The sequence below is a fragment of the Homo sapiens genome, chromosome 16 (assembly GCF_000001405.40).
Source record: "Homo sapiens chromosome 16, GRCh38.p14 Primary Assembly".
In the NCBI taxonomy this organism is placed as follows: domain Eukaryota; kingdom Metazoa; phylum Chordata; class Mammalia; order Primates; family Hominidae; genus Homo; species Homo sapiens.
Genome location: NC_000016.10, coordinates 7,586,664 through 7,602,781, shown reverse-complemented (window position 1 = coordinate 7,602,781; position 16,118 = coordinate 7,586,664). Strand labels below are relative to the sequence as shown.

The 16,118-nt window shown below is 39.1% G+C and overlaps 1 protein-coding gene across 52 annotated transcripts in view; it reads right to left on the bottom strand.

Annotated features, from left to right (window-relative positions):
• RBFOX1 (RNA binding fox-1 homolog 1) overlaps positions 1 to 16,118 on the bottom strand; it is a 2,473,620-nt gene that overhangs the window by 110,559 nt on the left and 2,346,943 nt on the right. For 45 of the 52 annotated variants that reach the window (NM_001415887.1, NM_001415888.1, XM_017023318.3 and 42 more), the window contains 3 exons: positions 15,482 to 15,535; positions 7,141 to 7,233; positions 5,351 to 5,411 (listed from right to left, as the gene is read on the bottom strand). In NM_001415887.1, the coding sequence (NP_001402816.1) occupies positions 5,351 to 5,411; positions 7,141 to 7,233; positions 15,482 to 15,535 (208 nt within the window). The remainder of the gene's footprint in view (positions 1 to 5,350; positions 5,412 to 7,140; positions 7,234 to 15,481; positions 15,536 to 16,118) is intronic. The other 7 variants (NM_001415908.1, NM_001415914.1, NM_001415910.1 and 4 more) reach the window with 1 other exon arrangement.

Below are 16,118 nucleotides of genomic sequence, written 5' to 3'. Positions count from 1 at the left end.
GTATTCTGCAGCTGTTGGAAAAGGTATTCTGTAAATGTCTGTTATGTCCATTTGGTCTAGAATCCAGCCCTTGAAAATCGCCTCCACTCAGACTTACAGAGCTCATGCGGGCTTATGTAAATATATGCAAATCACATGCAAATGAACCCACATTCCCTGTGACTCCTCCTCGTACCTGAAAGAGACCCTTGGGATAACCCTGCTGGAGATAAGAGCCTGCACTGTCAGGAAGATGAACAAAATGATCCCCTTTTTAATTTCTTAGGCAGTTTGTGTATGTCCCCAGGCCTTGCAAATTCAGAGATTTTGATCAAGGACATTAAACTGAACAATGAGGCTTACAACAAAAGGAGAATGGCTGATAAGGCCCACTGGTCCCAGCCTCCCAGGGCCCCCCCAGCCCCACAACAAGGCAATGGAGCCAGAGAACAGACGTCTTGGGGTCTGGCTCTGTATCAGATACGCAAGCAGTTTAGACCCCTCCGTGGCCAGGACTCAAGGGGCCACATCTGAATTTGCACTCCCCTCCCCAAATTTAGCTTGTCAAAGGTCAAGTGTCAGTATTTCTAAAATATGCTGGTTAAGACCTCCAGTGTTAACTATGACTGCATTGGGTGTTAAAAGGCCAAGTCTGAATGTGTACACAAAAAACATCAGCACAGGCTTTCTCTTAAGGCTTTGCTGGGTTACATATCAAAGAAACGCATTCCAGAGAGCACCCTTATGTACGCTACAGGAATTACAAAAACTGCCTGTCAATGCTTTCTAAAGACATATACTAAGGATGTCAGAGACCTGGCAGCTGACATGGTACAGGTGGCAACTCTCAAATACCAAACAAAAAGAAGTGAGGTTCGCACTGGGTACAAAGGTGTTTTGTTTGGGTTCACTGAATATTCTTTAACGGCGTGTATTTATTGCCAAAATTTAAATTCCGTCTAAAATACAGGATTTCTATTTCTCTTGAAACATCGGTAGAAATGGTAACTTTAAGTTGAGAATGCCTCACAGACAGACTTATTAGAGGTGGTCAAGGGCTACTGCATTCAACTCCCCACTTAGTCACATTTACCACTGCTCCCCATTGTGAGACTGATAGGGAGATTAAATGTTTGAGATCTTTTATTGTTAATTCGTGGTGGTGGTGGTGGTGGTGTTGATTTTTCCTCGTAGATAAATATTTTGCTTTACTTCAGTAAGAAAACAATAGCTAGTCCCAAAAGACTGAGTTTTTCAAAGACTGTCTGTTTGCTGATTTTACCTGTTCAGCCCCTTTTAGCATCTGAAGAATTGATCCTTAAACTAGTATCTCTCAGGGAATTCAACTACCCATGACAATAAAGGAATAATATGATGACTTAATATTGAAACTATGTGTAATCAAATACTACTGCGCTATAAATAGTAGTAAAAATAATCTTTTAGGCCACTTTGCATACCTAGCATTGTGTTGAGCACTTTCTCTCATAATTATCACAAAGAACTGTGATGTAGTTCCCATCATTTGTACAGTTCCCACTAGAGAGCTGGCACATGGAGAGTTTAAACAACTTCCTACAATTCAAGAGCCAGTGAATGGAAGAACTGATCCGGGCAACAAAGTATGCCTCTCTCTGGAGCGCTGAATATGTTTGCCCCATTTTCATCCTTCCTAACATCTCTAAGAAAATGAAAAAGCCATGTCTAGCACCCATGCTTCCCCAGCATCCAGGAAATCCTTGTGAATTCAGCTCTCAATCTTGTATTGCAGATCCAACATTTGATCCCCAAAGAACACAGCAAACCCCAACTCCTCCGTGTGGGTAGGTGTCCTTCAGAGAAATAGCAATAGAGAAATAGTCCAATCCCCTCTTTGTGGAACTTTTTAATAGAATGTCCAGAAGCCTACGGCTCATTCTACAGCTTTTCATTATGTCATTGTTTAAATATCCTGAGAATAGTATCTACACCCTCCATGTTATTAACTGTAACCCTCTATAATGGACAGGTATCTCATCACATTTAGAATTCAGTCTTATTTATCACTGGAAACTTTGCAGCTGCTAAAAGTTTTTCTGGATACATGATTGAAGTAATGCATGAAGGTGATGCTGGCATTGATAACTATATTTCATCACCTGGAGATGACCTGAAACTTTGATAGCTCCAGTAATTTATAATTTTGCTGAAGTACAATTTCTATGCTTTGTGAGAATGAATTATGTAGCTAATGAGTGAACCTCACCGATGGCTTAATTTTCTCATTTCAATGTGACTTTATTGGTCCCGACTTACCCTCTTTTGCCATAACTCTATCGTCTTGCTTATTAAGGATATGAAAGGGCCCTATATTTTTTCAGTTATATTGTATTGCCACTTAAGGGAATTTATCTGTAGTGGTGATACTCCTGAGTTGAAACTTGGGATAGCTTGGAGAACTACTTTTCTTTGAACACCAAAGTTCTCCATAATCTCCACTACAGAAGCCAAAGTCTTTATATAATTAGAATTGACATTTGTGTTTTAAATAAATTCTACTGTGTCTATCCATCAACCCCTTAGGTGCCATACACAGTATGTGTGACAGGAACAATTCTCTGAGTTCCCTTTTGCAGGTACGTGGATGACAGACCCATATGACTGACTTATTCCTGGAAACTGAGTGCATGGCTACCTGGAATGGGACATGGGATGTGCATGCCAAAATCTGGCAGGAACACGAGGTTGCACATTTAATAATTTTTTTGTTATTGTAGTTGGTTGCCACTTGAGTGCATTTCTACAAGAAGACAAAGGGAAAGCGATGCCTGATACACACAGGCATGGTCACAAGATTTTGTTACTTCATAACAAAAAGAAAAGGCTAGGCCAGAAGTGGTGGCTCATGCCTGTAATCTTAGCATTTTTGGAGGCCAAGACAGGCACATCACTTGAGCTCAGGAGTTCGAGACCAGCCTGGGCAACTTGGTGAAACTCCGTCTCTACAAAAAATAAAAAAAAAAACTAGCCAGGCATTGTGGCATGTGGCTGTAGTCCCAGCTACCAGGGAGGATTGCTTGAGCCTGGGAGGCAGAGGGTGCAATGAGCCAATAGCATGCCACTGCCCTCCAGCCTGGGTGAAAAAGTGAGACCCTGTCTCAAAAAAAAAAAAGAAAAAAAAAAAAGTCTTTATTAATTTCTTCATCTTCTCTAGCCTCAATGTTGCACCTCTAAAATAGGGATAATGATGTCCTCTTTATAGGACTTCATTTGTGTCCAGTGCACTTAAAATGCCTCACATAATGCATACCTCATATTCCAGAAAGGCTAGTTATTTATAAATGGGCTTTGAATTGTGTTAAAAAATCCTACAGGTCTAGTTTTCAGTCCCTGGTCATAAAATTGATCAATAACTCTTTTAAAATAAATATACATGCACATGGCTTATGAAATATTTGGCTTTTCTCGCTCCAGTTTCTCACTCAGCACACATGAGCAGCTAGTCATATGTAGACAAGCACACATGTGCCTGGGCACCAGTGCAACTTCATAATTAAAGACTATGCCCAACCGTCAGGTTGATGTCACCATATATGAAATCTGGCAAGTTTCAGAGTCATTACTTTTACCCAACTGGAAAGGCTGTATGACATATAAATCAGAGGTTTGCTTCAGTTCAGCACTGGGCATTTAAAGTCTGGTGTGAAAATAGTCTATACCATTTAAGGGCATGTCTTGGTTGACAAAGCTGAGAAAAATAGCAGAATAGGTAATTCTTCTGGTCTTTCAACTTAGAGCCCTATTATATAGACGGTATGTCCCTGTTGAATGATGCCCCTTTTAAAATTAAGAGCAAACTGACTGTCAAATTGGTAGTCACTGGCAAAAGAAACAGGAAAATCAAAACTACCAAATGATAATACATTGCTAGATCATTGTTTTCTTTTATTGTGATAAACAATCAGTATTTAGTTCTGACTGAACCTATTTATCTGTTTTGTGTAATATTACATAACCACTGAAATGAATTAGTCTAATCTGTATATATTAAATTAAAGGAACTCTATATAGATTTATTAAAAAACCCAATTAAAAATGCCAGGTGTATCCTTATATCATTCACATAAAAATGTATACAACACTATGAATACTATAAATGAACACCTACTACATATATAGGCATGAATACGCAAAATAAAACTATAGACAACAATCTGTAATAGCGGCTTCCTGTGAGGGGGGAGGTAGGAAACCAGGGTGGCAATGGGGTTATTTAAAATATATTTTAGACTTGTCTTTAACGTTTCTTTTAATTTTTTTTTTACTTTAAAAAATCCGTATCTCCATGTGCAATTAAAATTTTAGAAGTATAAAATTCCATATATCTCCTTTTGATGTAATAAAGTTATATTATTTTTATGAACCTGAATCAAAGAAAAAATGTTTGCCAGTCTCACAATTCAGCACAACCATTAGCATTCTGGCATATTATCATCATTTATCTAAAGTTATGCGACAAACATTTATGTCAATTTTTTAATTATGAGACCCTTTATGATCCTTATCCTGCTCATTTTAATGGGTATAATATTCTACCATGTGTATATACTTTAACTTACTGCATTGCTTTAATTTTTGGTACAATTAAGTATGTGATTAACACAGTGGCAGGTTTCTTCCCCATATATCTTAAGAGATACTTATTTTGAGAGGAATTAAAGAATCAAAATGTTCAAACATTTTTAATAACTCATATGTGAATGCTTTTTAGGAGGAGTTTTCAGAAGTTTTATTGATAAAAACAGAAATTGCATTGTCCTGATGGGGTCTGTAATACAAAGCAACATTCTCAACTAGCCCAAAATAACACTGAGCAGCCCAGAGAAGAACAAATAACCCACTCACACATTCTGCTAACCCTGTGGAATTCAGACATGAGGTATACTCTAAACCACTTCAAATGACTAATCTCTCTGGAGAAGACTCAAAGACAGAATAAATTACGTGACTGCACGTCCAGGAATGATTAGTAATCAACGAGCAGATGGTATTGAAAAGCAAACAAACTAAACCTCCAATTCTCCCCTCAACTTACTGTAATAACCAATGAAATTAGCAAACTAATTTCCAAATAATTAGTGCATCTCAATCCCAAACAGAGTTATTCTAGAAAGAAGGGAAGAAGGGCAGGCACACTTAACCTGAACACTCCATTTGCCTTTGTTGTGAAAATGATCTTATTGATGTAGGTGGTTCACTGTAGCAGGTCAGTAGTAAAAACACAGTGTCAATGCCCAGGCAAACACAGCTTGTTGTAATAGAATCTCTGGTTAAATTACTTAAAGAGTCAGAAGTAGAGAGAATTTCTTGTAAAAGGCCAATCTCTACTTACCATTTGTATAAGGGTTGACGGTCTTTTTATTTGTCATTACACGTGCTGTGGCATTATTTACCTATGTACATAGAAAACTCAAGTAAGCACATATTCTAGGGCCAGCTCCCAATTCAATTAGTTGCATGCATTATGACCGTGATTACTTATTAAAAAAGAAAACTAAAAAGTAAAATGCATTTTAATTTATAAAAGGCAGTAGGTGCATAACAAAATCATACATTTTTAAAATTACATTTACTTCATAACCGTTTAACTTACAAATCATTTCAATAAAGCAATGTCATATCATTAAGAGTGTTTAATAAAGGGACAGTAAAAGCAAATTAAAAGATTCTGCATAATTGAAGATTTAAAAGCATGCGTGTACTCCATGGTAACACAGAAACAAGAAATATTTTTTAAACATAAAATAAAATTCATATGAAGGAGCATGCAGTGGAGAAGAGAGAAGAGACAAGGTACAAGGGAACATAAATGTCAAAAAAAGGGACAAACAAGTCTTAGCCGTGTGCAACACTTTAGGAGGAAAGAACCATCAGGAAAGCAACATCTAGCATTCAACACTTGGAACAAGAGCCTTTTACATCGCAAGAATTAACAAAATCATTCAAGCTTTAACGTCACAGCTAACAAAAGGATAAAAGAGAGGGTGCATTGTTTAACACAATATGGGGTTAACAATCTGAGTAAGATGTGCACCGGTCATAACTCAATCCAGTCAGTGCCTCCCAGGCTAGCTTAGAACGTACACTCAATTACAGGCGTACCAATATCCAAAAAAATAGAGCATCAAGAAAACTTAATACGACAAGTCAAAAAAATTCACGTGGTATATATATATATGTATATAGATATATCAGCACTAAATACGTGAAACGGCAGATGGACTTCACCACTTACCATTCACCACCATCGCCAGCATGGGTTTGTATACAGTTACCATGGTTACTGAGAGTTTGGTGAGGGGCCTAAGCGTTATCGTCGAAGGGGAAAATGAAAGGCAAAATATGCAACATCTTACTCCAAAGACTAAAGCATTTGTAACTGGTATTAAAAAAAAAATTAACAAATATGACCCTGTGGCTATGTTGCGGGAGATCCCAGTGGGACAAATAGCAGACTCTGAATGTCAGTATTTTGGTATTTATGCTTTCAGTGAACAGGGGCCAGATATTGAACAGGAAATCCTGTTTGGTTATTCACTTTGTTATCAAAAGAATACAGAAATTCAAACTGGCTTCTTAAAAAAAAAAAAACGAGAGGTTTAGTAAAAACCTCTCGTTTTTTTTTTTGTTTTTTTTTCCACAAAAAACAAACAAACAAACAAAAAAAAACAAACAAAAAAACAATCTTTTTTGCTTTCCCAATTTGGTTTAATTTGCCAACCACTGTGGATCCCTCTTCAACCCTGAAGTGGAAAGAAAAAGAAAAAGAAACTGTTCTGTATTTTGTTTGGTTTGCAATACTGTCTATTCTTTGGAACCTACTGCACCCATTGATTATAAAACATGGAAAATAACAACAAAAAAACACTTTCCGATTAACCTTTCTTTTGTCTCACGTTTGCCATCCACCTTTCAGCGGTATAAGAGTAACATAATAAAGTAAAATTAAAAAAAAAAGTAAGGCCAGTTTTCCTTTTTATATATAAAAATATATATATATATATAAACAATGAGGGGGAATAGGGTCACATACAAGACGCCAATGATGCATCTGGAACAACGAATGAGCGTGAAGCAGACATTTATAAAAAAGATGAAAAGGAAAATATTTTGAACATGCACCTCGATTTTACGGCCCTCTACCACGGTGCCGTGTAATTTCTCCCTCGCCCTGTCCGCATCGGCACTATTTTCGAAAGTTACGAAACCAAATCCCTGCATGCAGGAGGGAGAAGGGAAAACAACATGCAGATTATTATTTCAGTCAACGACCACTTGGTAATGTTCTCTCGCTTTAATTTCTATTTCTTGTCCTGGCTTCAGTTCTGTAACATGCAAATTAGAGAAATTATAAGAGTACTGAGATGTGCAATAATTAAGCGACAAATGTGAACAAGATATTTTTTTCTGTCACCAGTTAGCTGTAACCCCTGAAGTATTCAAAGAAGGATACCAAAAATACCTTTCTAAATGTCACTACAGAAGAAAATAAATCTAACGAAAAGAAAATGAGATCAAAATAAATTTACAGTGTCTTCACAGAGAATAAAATGAAATAATGAGGAAAAGAAAAGGGAACCACTTTTTTGACATGCAAATTAAAAATAAAATAAAATAAAACGTGTGCACGAAATTCAACAATGAATGCCAAAATCCTCTAACATTGCCTACAGAGTCATGCCGTGTGGTTTTAAGAACATCTCTTCTTCATGCAGTTTTAGGGTTATTCAAATTTGTCAGTTCTACAGCCTTTACTTCTCAAAAATAAAACTTAAAAGCCTAAAAAAGGAAAGACCTTTTTTATAATAAATCTTAAACTCTTTGGTCTAATAAACAAAAAAGTCACATGAAATGAACAGAAATAAACTTCAGTTGATTAATAATACAAACAATTCAATGTTTGTGCTCATACTTTCCCCACTCTTCAAATTGCATACACGCTTTTGAATTTGACAACCTTCCATCCTACTTTGTTAACCAGAAAGGGAAAGGTGTACCCATATTGTAAAGTTCTGGCATTAGGTCAATATTTATTTTTCATATCAACAGGTAGCAAAGAAACTTTGTTAATAGAATGTAATTTGTAATAATATTCTGGCCACTTCCTCTTTTACTGATAGATAACATATATACCTTTTAATTTACCACAGGTACATTGGCTTTTAATATTTCAGCCTCAAAAATCAACCCCACTAAACTATATTGTCAAAATCCGTATTTTGTCTTCACTGACATTGTTCCTAAGTACAGAAAATACGACACATTATTTTTAAAGCCCCTAAAAATATTTGTACATCTTGTTCAGAAATATACACCAACCTTTCGAACAATTTCCACATAAATTTACCCAGCTCTTTCAGATTTTTCACTGTAAACTGGGTGAAATCATGCAATATGTTGGGGCTCCTCTTAGCATCAAATAATCCTTGTTGGCTCCAAGTTGAGTTGGGACAGTATAATACTTAGTTTTACTAAAGAAATGCACAATAATTACAAATACATGGTAGTTATAACCAACTGGTGATAACTCCCAGTCCTACATTAGTTCTCTATAATCACCTCCAAATTTAAGGCTAAAGAGGTATTGACCACAGGGCGGGGAACATCACACACCAGGGCCTGTCACGGGGTGGGGGGCTGGGGGAGGGATAGCGTTAGGAGAAATACCTAATGTAAATGACTAGTTGATGGGTGCAGCAAACCAATATGGCACACGTATACCTATGTAACAAACCTGCACAGTGTGCACCTGTACCCTAGAACTTAAAGTATAATAAAACAACAAAAAAAGTATTGTGCAATGGGCTGGCTAACGGAACTTTTCAACAGTCGGAATAGGCTCATCAGCCACAGAAGACAGGGGATGTGGATGTATTCAAGTGAGGGTAGATGATTATTTGTCGGGATTCTATAGACAGCTGTACCTCAGAATCCACTACAGATTAGTTCCAAGACATCCCCACCCCTGATACCCAAATCCTTGCATTTCCAAGTCCCACAGTCACCCCGTGGAATGTGAGTATAGAAGAAAATCAGCCCTCTATATATACAGGCCACACATCCTGGGAATACTGCCTTTGGTTGGAAAAAAAAAAAATTCACATGTAAGTGGACCTGCACAGTTCAAACCTGTGTTGTTCAAGGGTGAACTGTATCGAGAAAAATAACGTTTCTTTACTTTAGGGGATTGAACCAAATTACCTTCCATAATCTTTCCCATAGTGAGGCTCTGTGATTAGGATAAGCCTGAATTATCTGATTCATTTAAGATTATTTGCTCCATAACAGAAGGGTCTTGCTTAGTCTTGTGCACAAAGTATGCCCATATTGGGTATGCAAATACACTCGCCAACTGTATAGTTTGGAAATGATTGTTCTTCAAAGGGAAAAAAGAGAGAATTTAGGGGGATTTTGCTCTATTTGACAGTTCTAACTCTTGGCCAGTATATCTCAAACTTAGCCGCATATCAGAAGGAACTTGGGAGGACATTAAACATTAAGATTCCTGAGCCTTGCTTTGTATCCACTGGATTAGAATCCCAGACTGGAGTCCAGAAATGTGTTTGCTTAAAATGTGTGGCCCAGTGATTTGATTTCCATGACCTCTCATTTCACTACGTGTGATCGAAACCATCAAAAGAAGGTTTTGGGCCAGGCATGGTGGCTCACACCTGTAATGCAAGCAGTTTGGGAGGCCAAGGCAGGAGGATCACTTGAGCCCAGGAGTTTGAGACCAGGCTGAGTAACATGGCAAAACCTCACCTCTACCAAAAAAAAAAAAAAAGCCAGGTGTGACAGCCTGTACCTATTGTCTCTGCTACTTGGGAGGCTGAGGTGGGAGCATTCATTGCTTGAGCCCAGGAGGTTGAGGCTACAGTGAGCTGTGATTGTACCCCTGTACTCCAGCCTGGGTGACACCCTATCTGAAAAAGAGGTTTTCATCCTTTGTAATAAATAGAATTTTATATTGCTGATATCTATAGATTTTTGGCTATAGATTTTGACTCAGTTACTTGGAGCTTACATGTAGAGGTACAGCCAAAAGCACATGTCCCAGGCTTCTTGGCAACGTTCTCTTCCTCCCTGATGGGCCTAACTTCCTAGCAACCATAGCCATGCCACATATTCCAAAAAGAATCAGAGAAACGAGGGCTTTGGATTTATATTCTCTCCCGGCAAGAAAAGAAAATCCATAGCCCCACTGGTATAGCTGGAGGGCCAGGTGGTATCATTTCTGCCCTTTGGAACTAGCAGTCATTATTACCACAGCACTGGGAAGAACACAGCCAGGTGAGACTGAACACTCACCCTCCTGTCCAACATTATACTCCAGAACCTTGCTCTCATGCTTCATGTCTGAACCCAAGGCAAACCTACTGCCCCGAAATCAGCATTAAGTATGTTTAGGAAAGACAAAGGTGGAAAGAGAAATACATTTTGAATCCCAAGGAAGGGGCATGAACTAAAAAGGAAATAGCCTCATCTATTCTCAAGTTCTCACTTTTTAAGCAAAGAGAATACATTCTTTTTTATTATTCTCATTGTTTTTCTGCGAAACTTCTTTCTCTCTTTGCTTGTCAGCTACTTGGTATTCCTCATTTAGAGTTGAGATTTGACAAAGTTCGGTGCAGAAAGAATGTGCTCCAGACGGTCCTCAAAATGCCAGACAGACTTTCCTACCTGTTCCGTTGGGCAATTCTACCTCCCACCCAGACAAGAAGTGGCATGGCCTCCCTGGGTTATCAGGTTATCAAAATTCTCACCTGAGGGTTGCAATGTAACCAGAAAGACCTCACCTGGTCCTCTCTATGAGCAGGGAACCTTTGCCACGATGCACAGGTGCCAGGCAACCTTGAGAGCGGGTGCTAAGGTTGTTTTTTCTGACCCGCCTCATGGTCGGAATTCTAACTCAGGGAAGCAGCAATTTGCAGTTTTTAAAAAGATGATGAATATTTTTACCTCTGCCTTAAAAAGGAGAACAAAACAAGCACATTCTGAGCTTGGCTTGCTCGGCAAAGGGCTGGGTGTGATGCTGATGTGTAACTGCTTAAAAAATCAAGACCGCAAGAAGGGGTACAGAGAAGGGGAGTCAGAGACACACCTTCCCAGAGTTTACCTTTAATGCTACTGAAGAAAAGAGATTGGTGGCCTGTGCCCTGTCATGAGCAGGTATAATCAGTAGGGCAGATAACGGGGACCTTAAGAGGATTGCCAGACCAACGTGACTTGCTTACTTTAAAATATTTTCGCAAATCATACATTCTGATCCTCTTGTATCCTAGTTATTGTTCTTTTTTCATCTTTTGTATTTTTAGGTGATATCTTCCTTTTTTGCATTCATGCAAATACACCATTTTATATGTTAAAGACTTAAATAAAGCACCCTGGATGGATGAAGGTACTGATTTTTCATCCTAGATGAAAAATCCAGTCCTCTAGTTTCTGGTGCAGAGAATTCATATTTAGAAGAGGGGAGCTGTTGATGAGCATCTGAAGATTCATTTTCCGATGGGACTATGAGCCCTCTCATCTCACTTTTACTCCAGTGATCTTTGCACATGCAACTTCTCCTGCCTGAGACACATCCCTCTTTCCCCTCCCTGGGAAATTCTTACGCAACTCTCACTCTCAGCTTAAATGTTCCTTCTTTCCAGAAGCCTTCTCACAATATCAGCCTGCCTGTCCGGACTCTCAGTGGCCTCTCCCATCACCGCAGAACAGCACAGGCTACTGCAGTCACTCATCTTCCTAGTCCATCTCTCCTGCTACTCAGGAAAGCCCAGGAGGACAGGAAGTACTTCTGTCTTACTCATGGTTGGCTCTCATGAAATGCAGCAAATACTTACTGATATCTACTGAATCAAAGATCAAAGTGTAGCTTTTTTTTTTTTTTTTTTTTTCTTAGAGACAGAACTTCCCTCTTCTTGCCCAGGCTGGAATGCAATGTCTTGATCTCGGCTCACTGCAATCTCCACCCCCCGGGTTCAAGTGATTCTCCTGCCTCAGCCTCCCGAGTAGCTGGGATTACAGGCATGCACCACCACACCCTGCTAATTTTGTATTTTTAGTCAAGACAAGGTTTCTCCATGTTGGTCAGGCTGGTCTCGAACTCCTGACCTCAGGTGATCCGCCTGCCTCGGCCTCCCAAAGTGCTGGGATTACAAGAGTGAGCCACCGCACACGGCCAGATATCTTAAGTATATACGTAGGGAGTAGCTATATCTGCATACAGCCCTTAAATAGACCATATCAGAGGTAAACGAGATGGTTGGGTAAATCTCGTAAAAAGGAAAAATAAATTACAGGATCATTCGCCCCTAAATGCTTACGAATTCTCATTTTCTCTCTGACATCTCTTTAAAATGTGGATTTTCTGCATTCTTGCTATTCACCCATACATTAAATACTTGAGTTATATACATTTCCAAAATAATATAGATACTACCTGGAATATAGATACTGGATCTATATTCCAAAGTAATATAGATACTTGTTCTGAGATAAGGACTCACTCTGTCACCCAAGCTGGAATGCAGTGGTGCAATCATAGCTCAGTAAAGCCTTGACCTCCTGGGATCAAGCAATCCTCCTGCCTCAGCCTCCCAAGTAGCTTGGACTACAGGTGTATATCACCATGCCCAGCTAATTTTAAATTATTATTTTGTGGAGATGGGGTCTCACTGTTGTCCAGGCTGGTCTTGAACTCCTGGCTTCATACAATACTCCCACCTCAGCTTCCTAAAGGGCTAGAATGTTAGGTATGAGACACTGCGTCCATCCCTTAAGTACATATGGGTTTATATGTCCGCATACACACACACACACACACACACACACACACACACACACACCCAGCACACACAGCCTTCAGCATTGAGTGGCCTGCCTGAAGAACTGCTCTAGAGAATGAAAGGCAAGAAGGTGAGTTCCTGGCTCGTAAGGGCCCACTCATTTCCTGGCTGTCTGTCCAGCACCAAACGATGAAAATGAGGCCATAGCAACAGTTCAGGTTTCTGAACCATTAAAATGGAAATGCTCCTCTAAATAAGGCCCTTTCCCATAAAGGATAATGTCAACTATGAAAAATATCCCTGTGTGAGCTGCTGCCCCCATTTAGCAGTCCCAACTGGACTGTCTCAGTGCCATTCCAGCAGTACCTAAACAGTCAGCTCCAACACCTGCAAGACAAGCTCTTTCAGAGGGCGCATACCCACCGAGAGAGGCTATTTTGGATGTTTCCTAAACCAAAAGAATAAAGACCAAAAAAAGGCAGCTTCACAAAGTCAGGCTCTGGATGCAGCAAACTTAAATGGTCTTTTTCCTGAAGCCCCCAGAGACAGGCTAATCATGGGAATGACGGAAGATGTCTTAAAAACAGTATCACCATTGTACTTTCAAAATGGCAAATGATATTCTTCTAATGTCCCAAAACAGCTCTCAGAAGGAATTAAACAGCTTTCTTCATTGTAACTGGCAAAAGTTACAAAACAAAATATAAATTAAACATATTAAAAAACAACAACAACAACACATCTTTGAAGGCAGTGCTGCTATAGACAGACCTAGGGTCAGAACGAAGTTGGTCAACATTCGGGTCATCTACAATTTCGCCAAGAATACAGAAGGCTCGAGTGAACAGAATTAGGCTGGGCACATTTTTCTCTCAATGCACTTTGCTTTGCAGGTATAGCAATAGTCCCCGTAATAACTTTCCTACAAGAAGCAGGAAGAGACTTAAGTTCGAGAACGATTGTAAAATATCTGGAGCTATGGAAAAATGACAAGGTCCCTGAAGGAGTATTATCACAAAGTGTAAGGGATTCTGTTTTGCTTTTGTTTTTGCTCATCTGACAGATTACAACATCACTCTGGCCATGGAGGAGAAAATACTGGGGTTTTCTTTCCTTGATATGATCAACATCATCCTAGTTAATTAGTACTAAATTTACTTAGGAGGGAGGAAGGCTGTCCAAGGAATAAAGAAAAAAAAATCAAAGGTTTGTTTTATGGGGGAAAGATGGTTATACACATCCAAAAGAGCTGGCAATGTGGCCTGTGACACTTCAAATAAAACCAGCACCGCTTACTGACCCTCCGTGATACCGACTTGCCTCAAATCGCCTGTGTAAGGAGAGTCAATGGGCTGAAATCACTATCTCTCAACATTTGCATTCATAGTCTGAGGATGCAAGGAGAAGGGAACTTAAAATTCCTAATAGCCTGGGGACTGGCAGCCAGGAGACCCGTCAGAGCTATTGAAAGCATTCACTTTCTGGTTACCAAGATCCACATCTTTGTTCTCCATCATTCTCCCTGTTAACCCCCTGTGTCTGCTTATAGGCCTCATGTGTTGTTTTCCTCAGTGGAGCTAAAACACAGGTTGCTGAGCCCTAACTTGGGAGTTTTGAATTCAACAGATCAGGGCTGGAGCCTGAGAACTTGCATTTCTAATCAGTTCCTAGGTGATGCTGATATTCCTGGTCTGGGACCACCCTTGGTTAGCCACTGATAGAGAGGAGGTTTTAGAAATGTTTCTGTTTTTCTCTTCTCCCAACATATTTCTTTTGTTTATTTGCTTATTTTTGAGATAGGATCTTGCTCTGTTCACCGAGGCTGTGGTGCAGTGGTGCAATCTCAGCTCACTGCAACTACTACCTCCTGGGTGCAAGCGATTCTCCTGCCTCAGCCTCCCGAGTAGCTGGAATTACAGGCACATGCCACCACACCCAGCTAATTTTTGTATTTTTAGTAAAGACGAGGTTCCACCATGTTGCCCAGGTTGCTCTTGAGCTCCTGACCTCAGGTGATCCACCCACCTCAAAGTGCTGGGATTACAGGCGTGAGCCACTGCACCCAGCCCATATTTCTGTTTTGAAACAGAACCTCTCCTGAACCCAAACCTCTCCATAGAGCCCCTGACTTTTATTAGCACTAGGGAATCTATTTAAAAATTGGTTTCCTTGAAAAAACAAACTCAAAGCAATGGCAAATTGCTAAATGTGGATCGGTAAACATACTAAAGAATAAAATTACATTCAAAAGGTTGGTGTATATGAGATTTTTCTCCCCTACAACCCAGGAAAATAACTGCACTTTATTAATACAGAATAATCACATATTTACCTGCTCATGAGACTATCAACTCACTTTTTAATATAAAGAACATAATTATCACTGAAAAACAAAAATGTAGCAACATCATTATTTTTTTAAGCATGTATAATTTTCCTCTGGAAACTTGATATATATATAAAACAGCAATTTAAAATTATCCCCTTATACATTTTAAACTGAACCCGATGTCTTTCCCACCATTTTGAAAACGGAAGGTGGTCTCTAAAGGAATTCCCACTGAAGTGTATTTTCACAATGAGCTGATTAAGACAGTGCAGTTGTTTCCCCTTATTCATAACAAACATTTAAAAATAAACTAAACAATTCTAAAGTGAATTAAGTTGCTTACCTTTGAGCCTCGCTCATTAAAAATAATTTCAACATCTAAGATTTTACCAAATTGCTGCAAAGAAATAGAAATATCTTATAAGCAAGAAGAGAAATGCAGTAGACATTACTATGTACAGTAGTAATTGTTTCCCACGTCCATTTTTTTCTCTTTTAATACCAAGGATACACATTTTATGTTTTATGGTTAATGTGCTTGAAACAAGAGAAAATAAAACCACCCATATTTTCTCCTTATTATGGAATATACCGGCAAGGCTTGATACAAAATATTAATCAAGAGGTTAATTCTATTTTTCTTTTTTTCCTGTGTGCATGTCTGCTTTCCCAGGCACTGAGCAGCAAAGATTAAAAGTGGCTAGTATGTACATACAATGATCCTTCTGGTCTATCCCACTAAACACTGGGAGAAACACCCTTGATGAAATGTGATTTTGATAATCAATGTCCAGTGAGAATGTGATGTGACTGGGGTTGGCTCCTAGCTCACATAAAATCTAGGAGCAGCTCTATCATATGAGCAAGAAAGTACAAACACAGAAGCAAACTCCACTATCTAGGCACTATCATCATGATGGTATCAGCAGTTGTGATCAGTGCTTGGGCTGAAATTCTCTCAAGATAATTCTCCACATTGT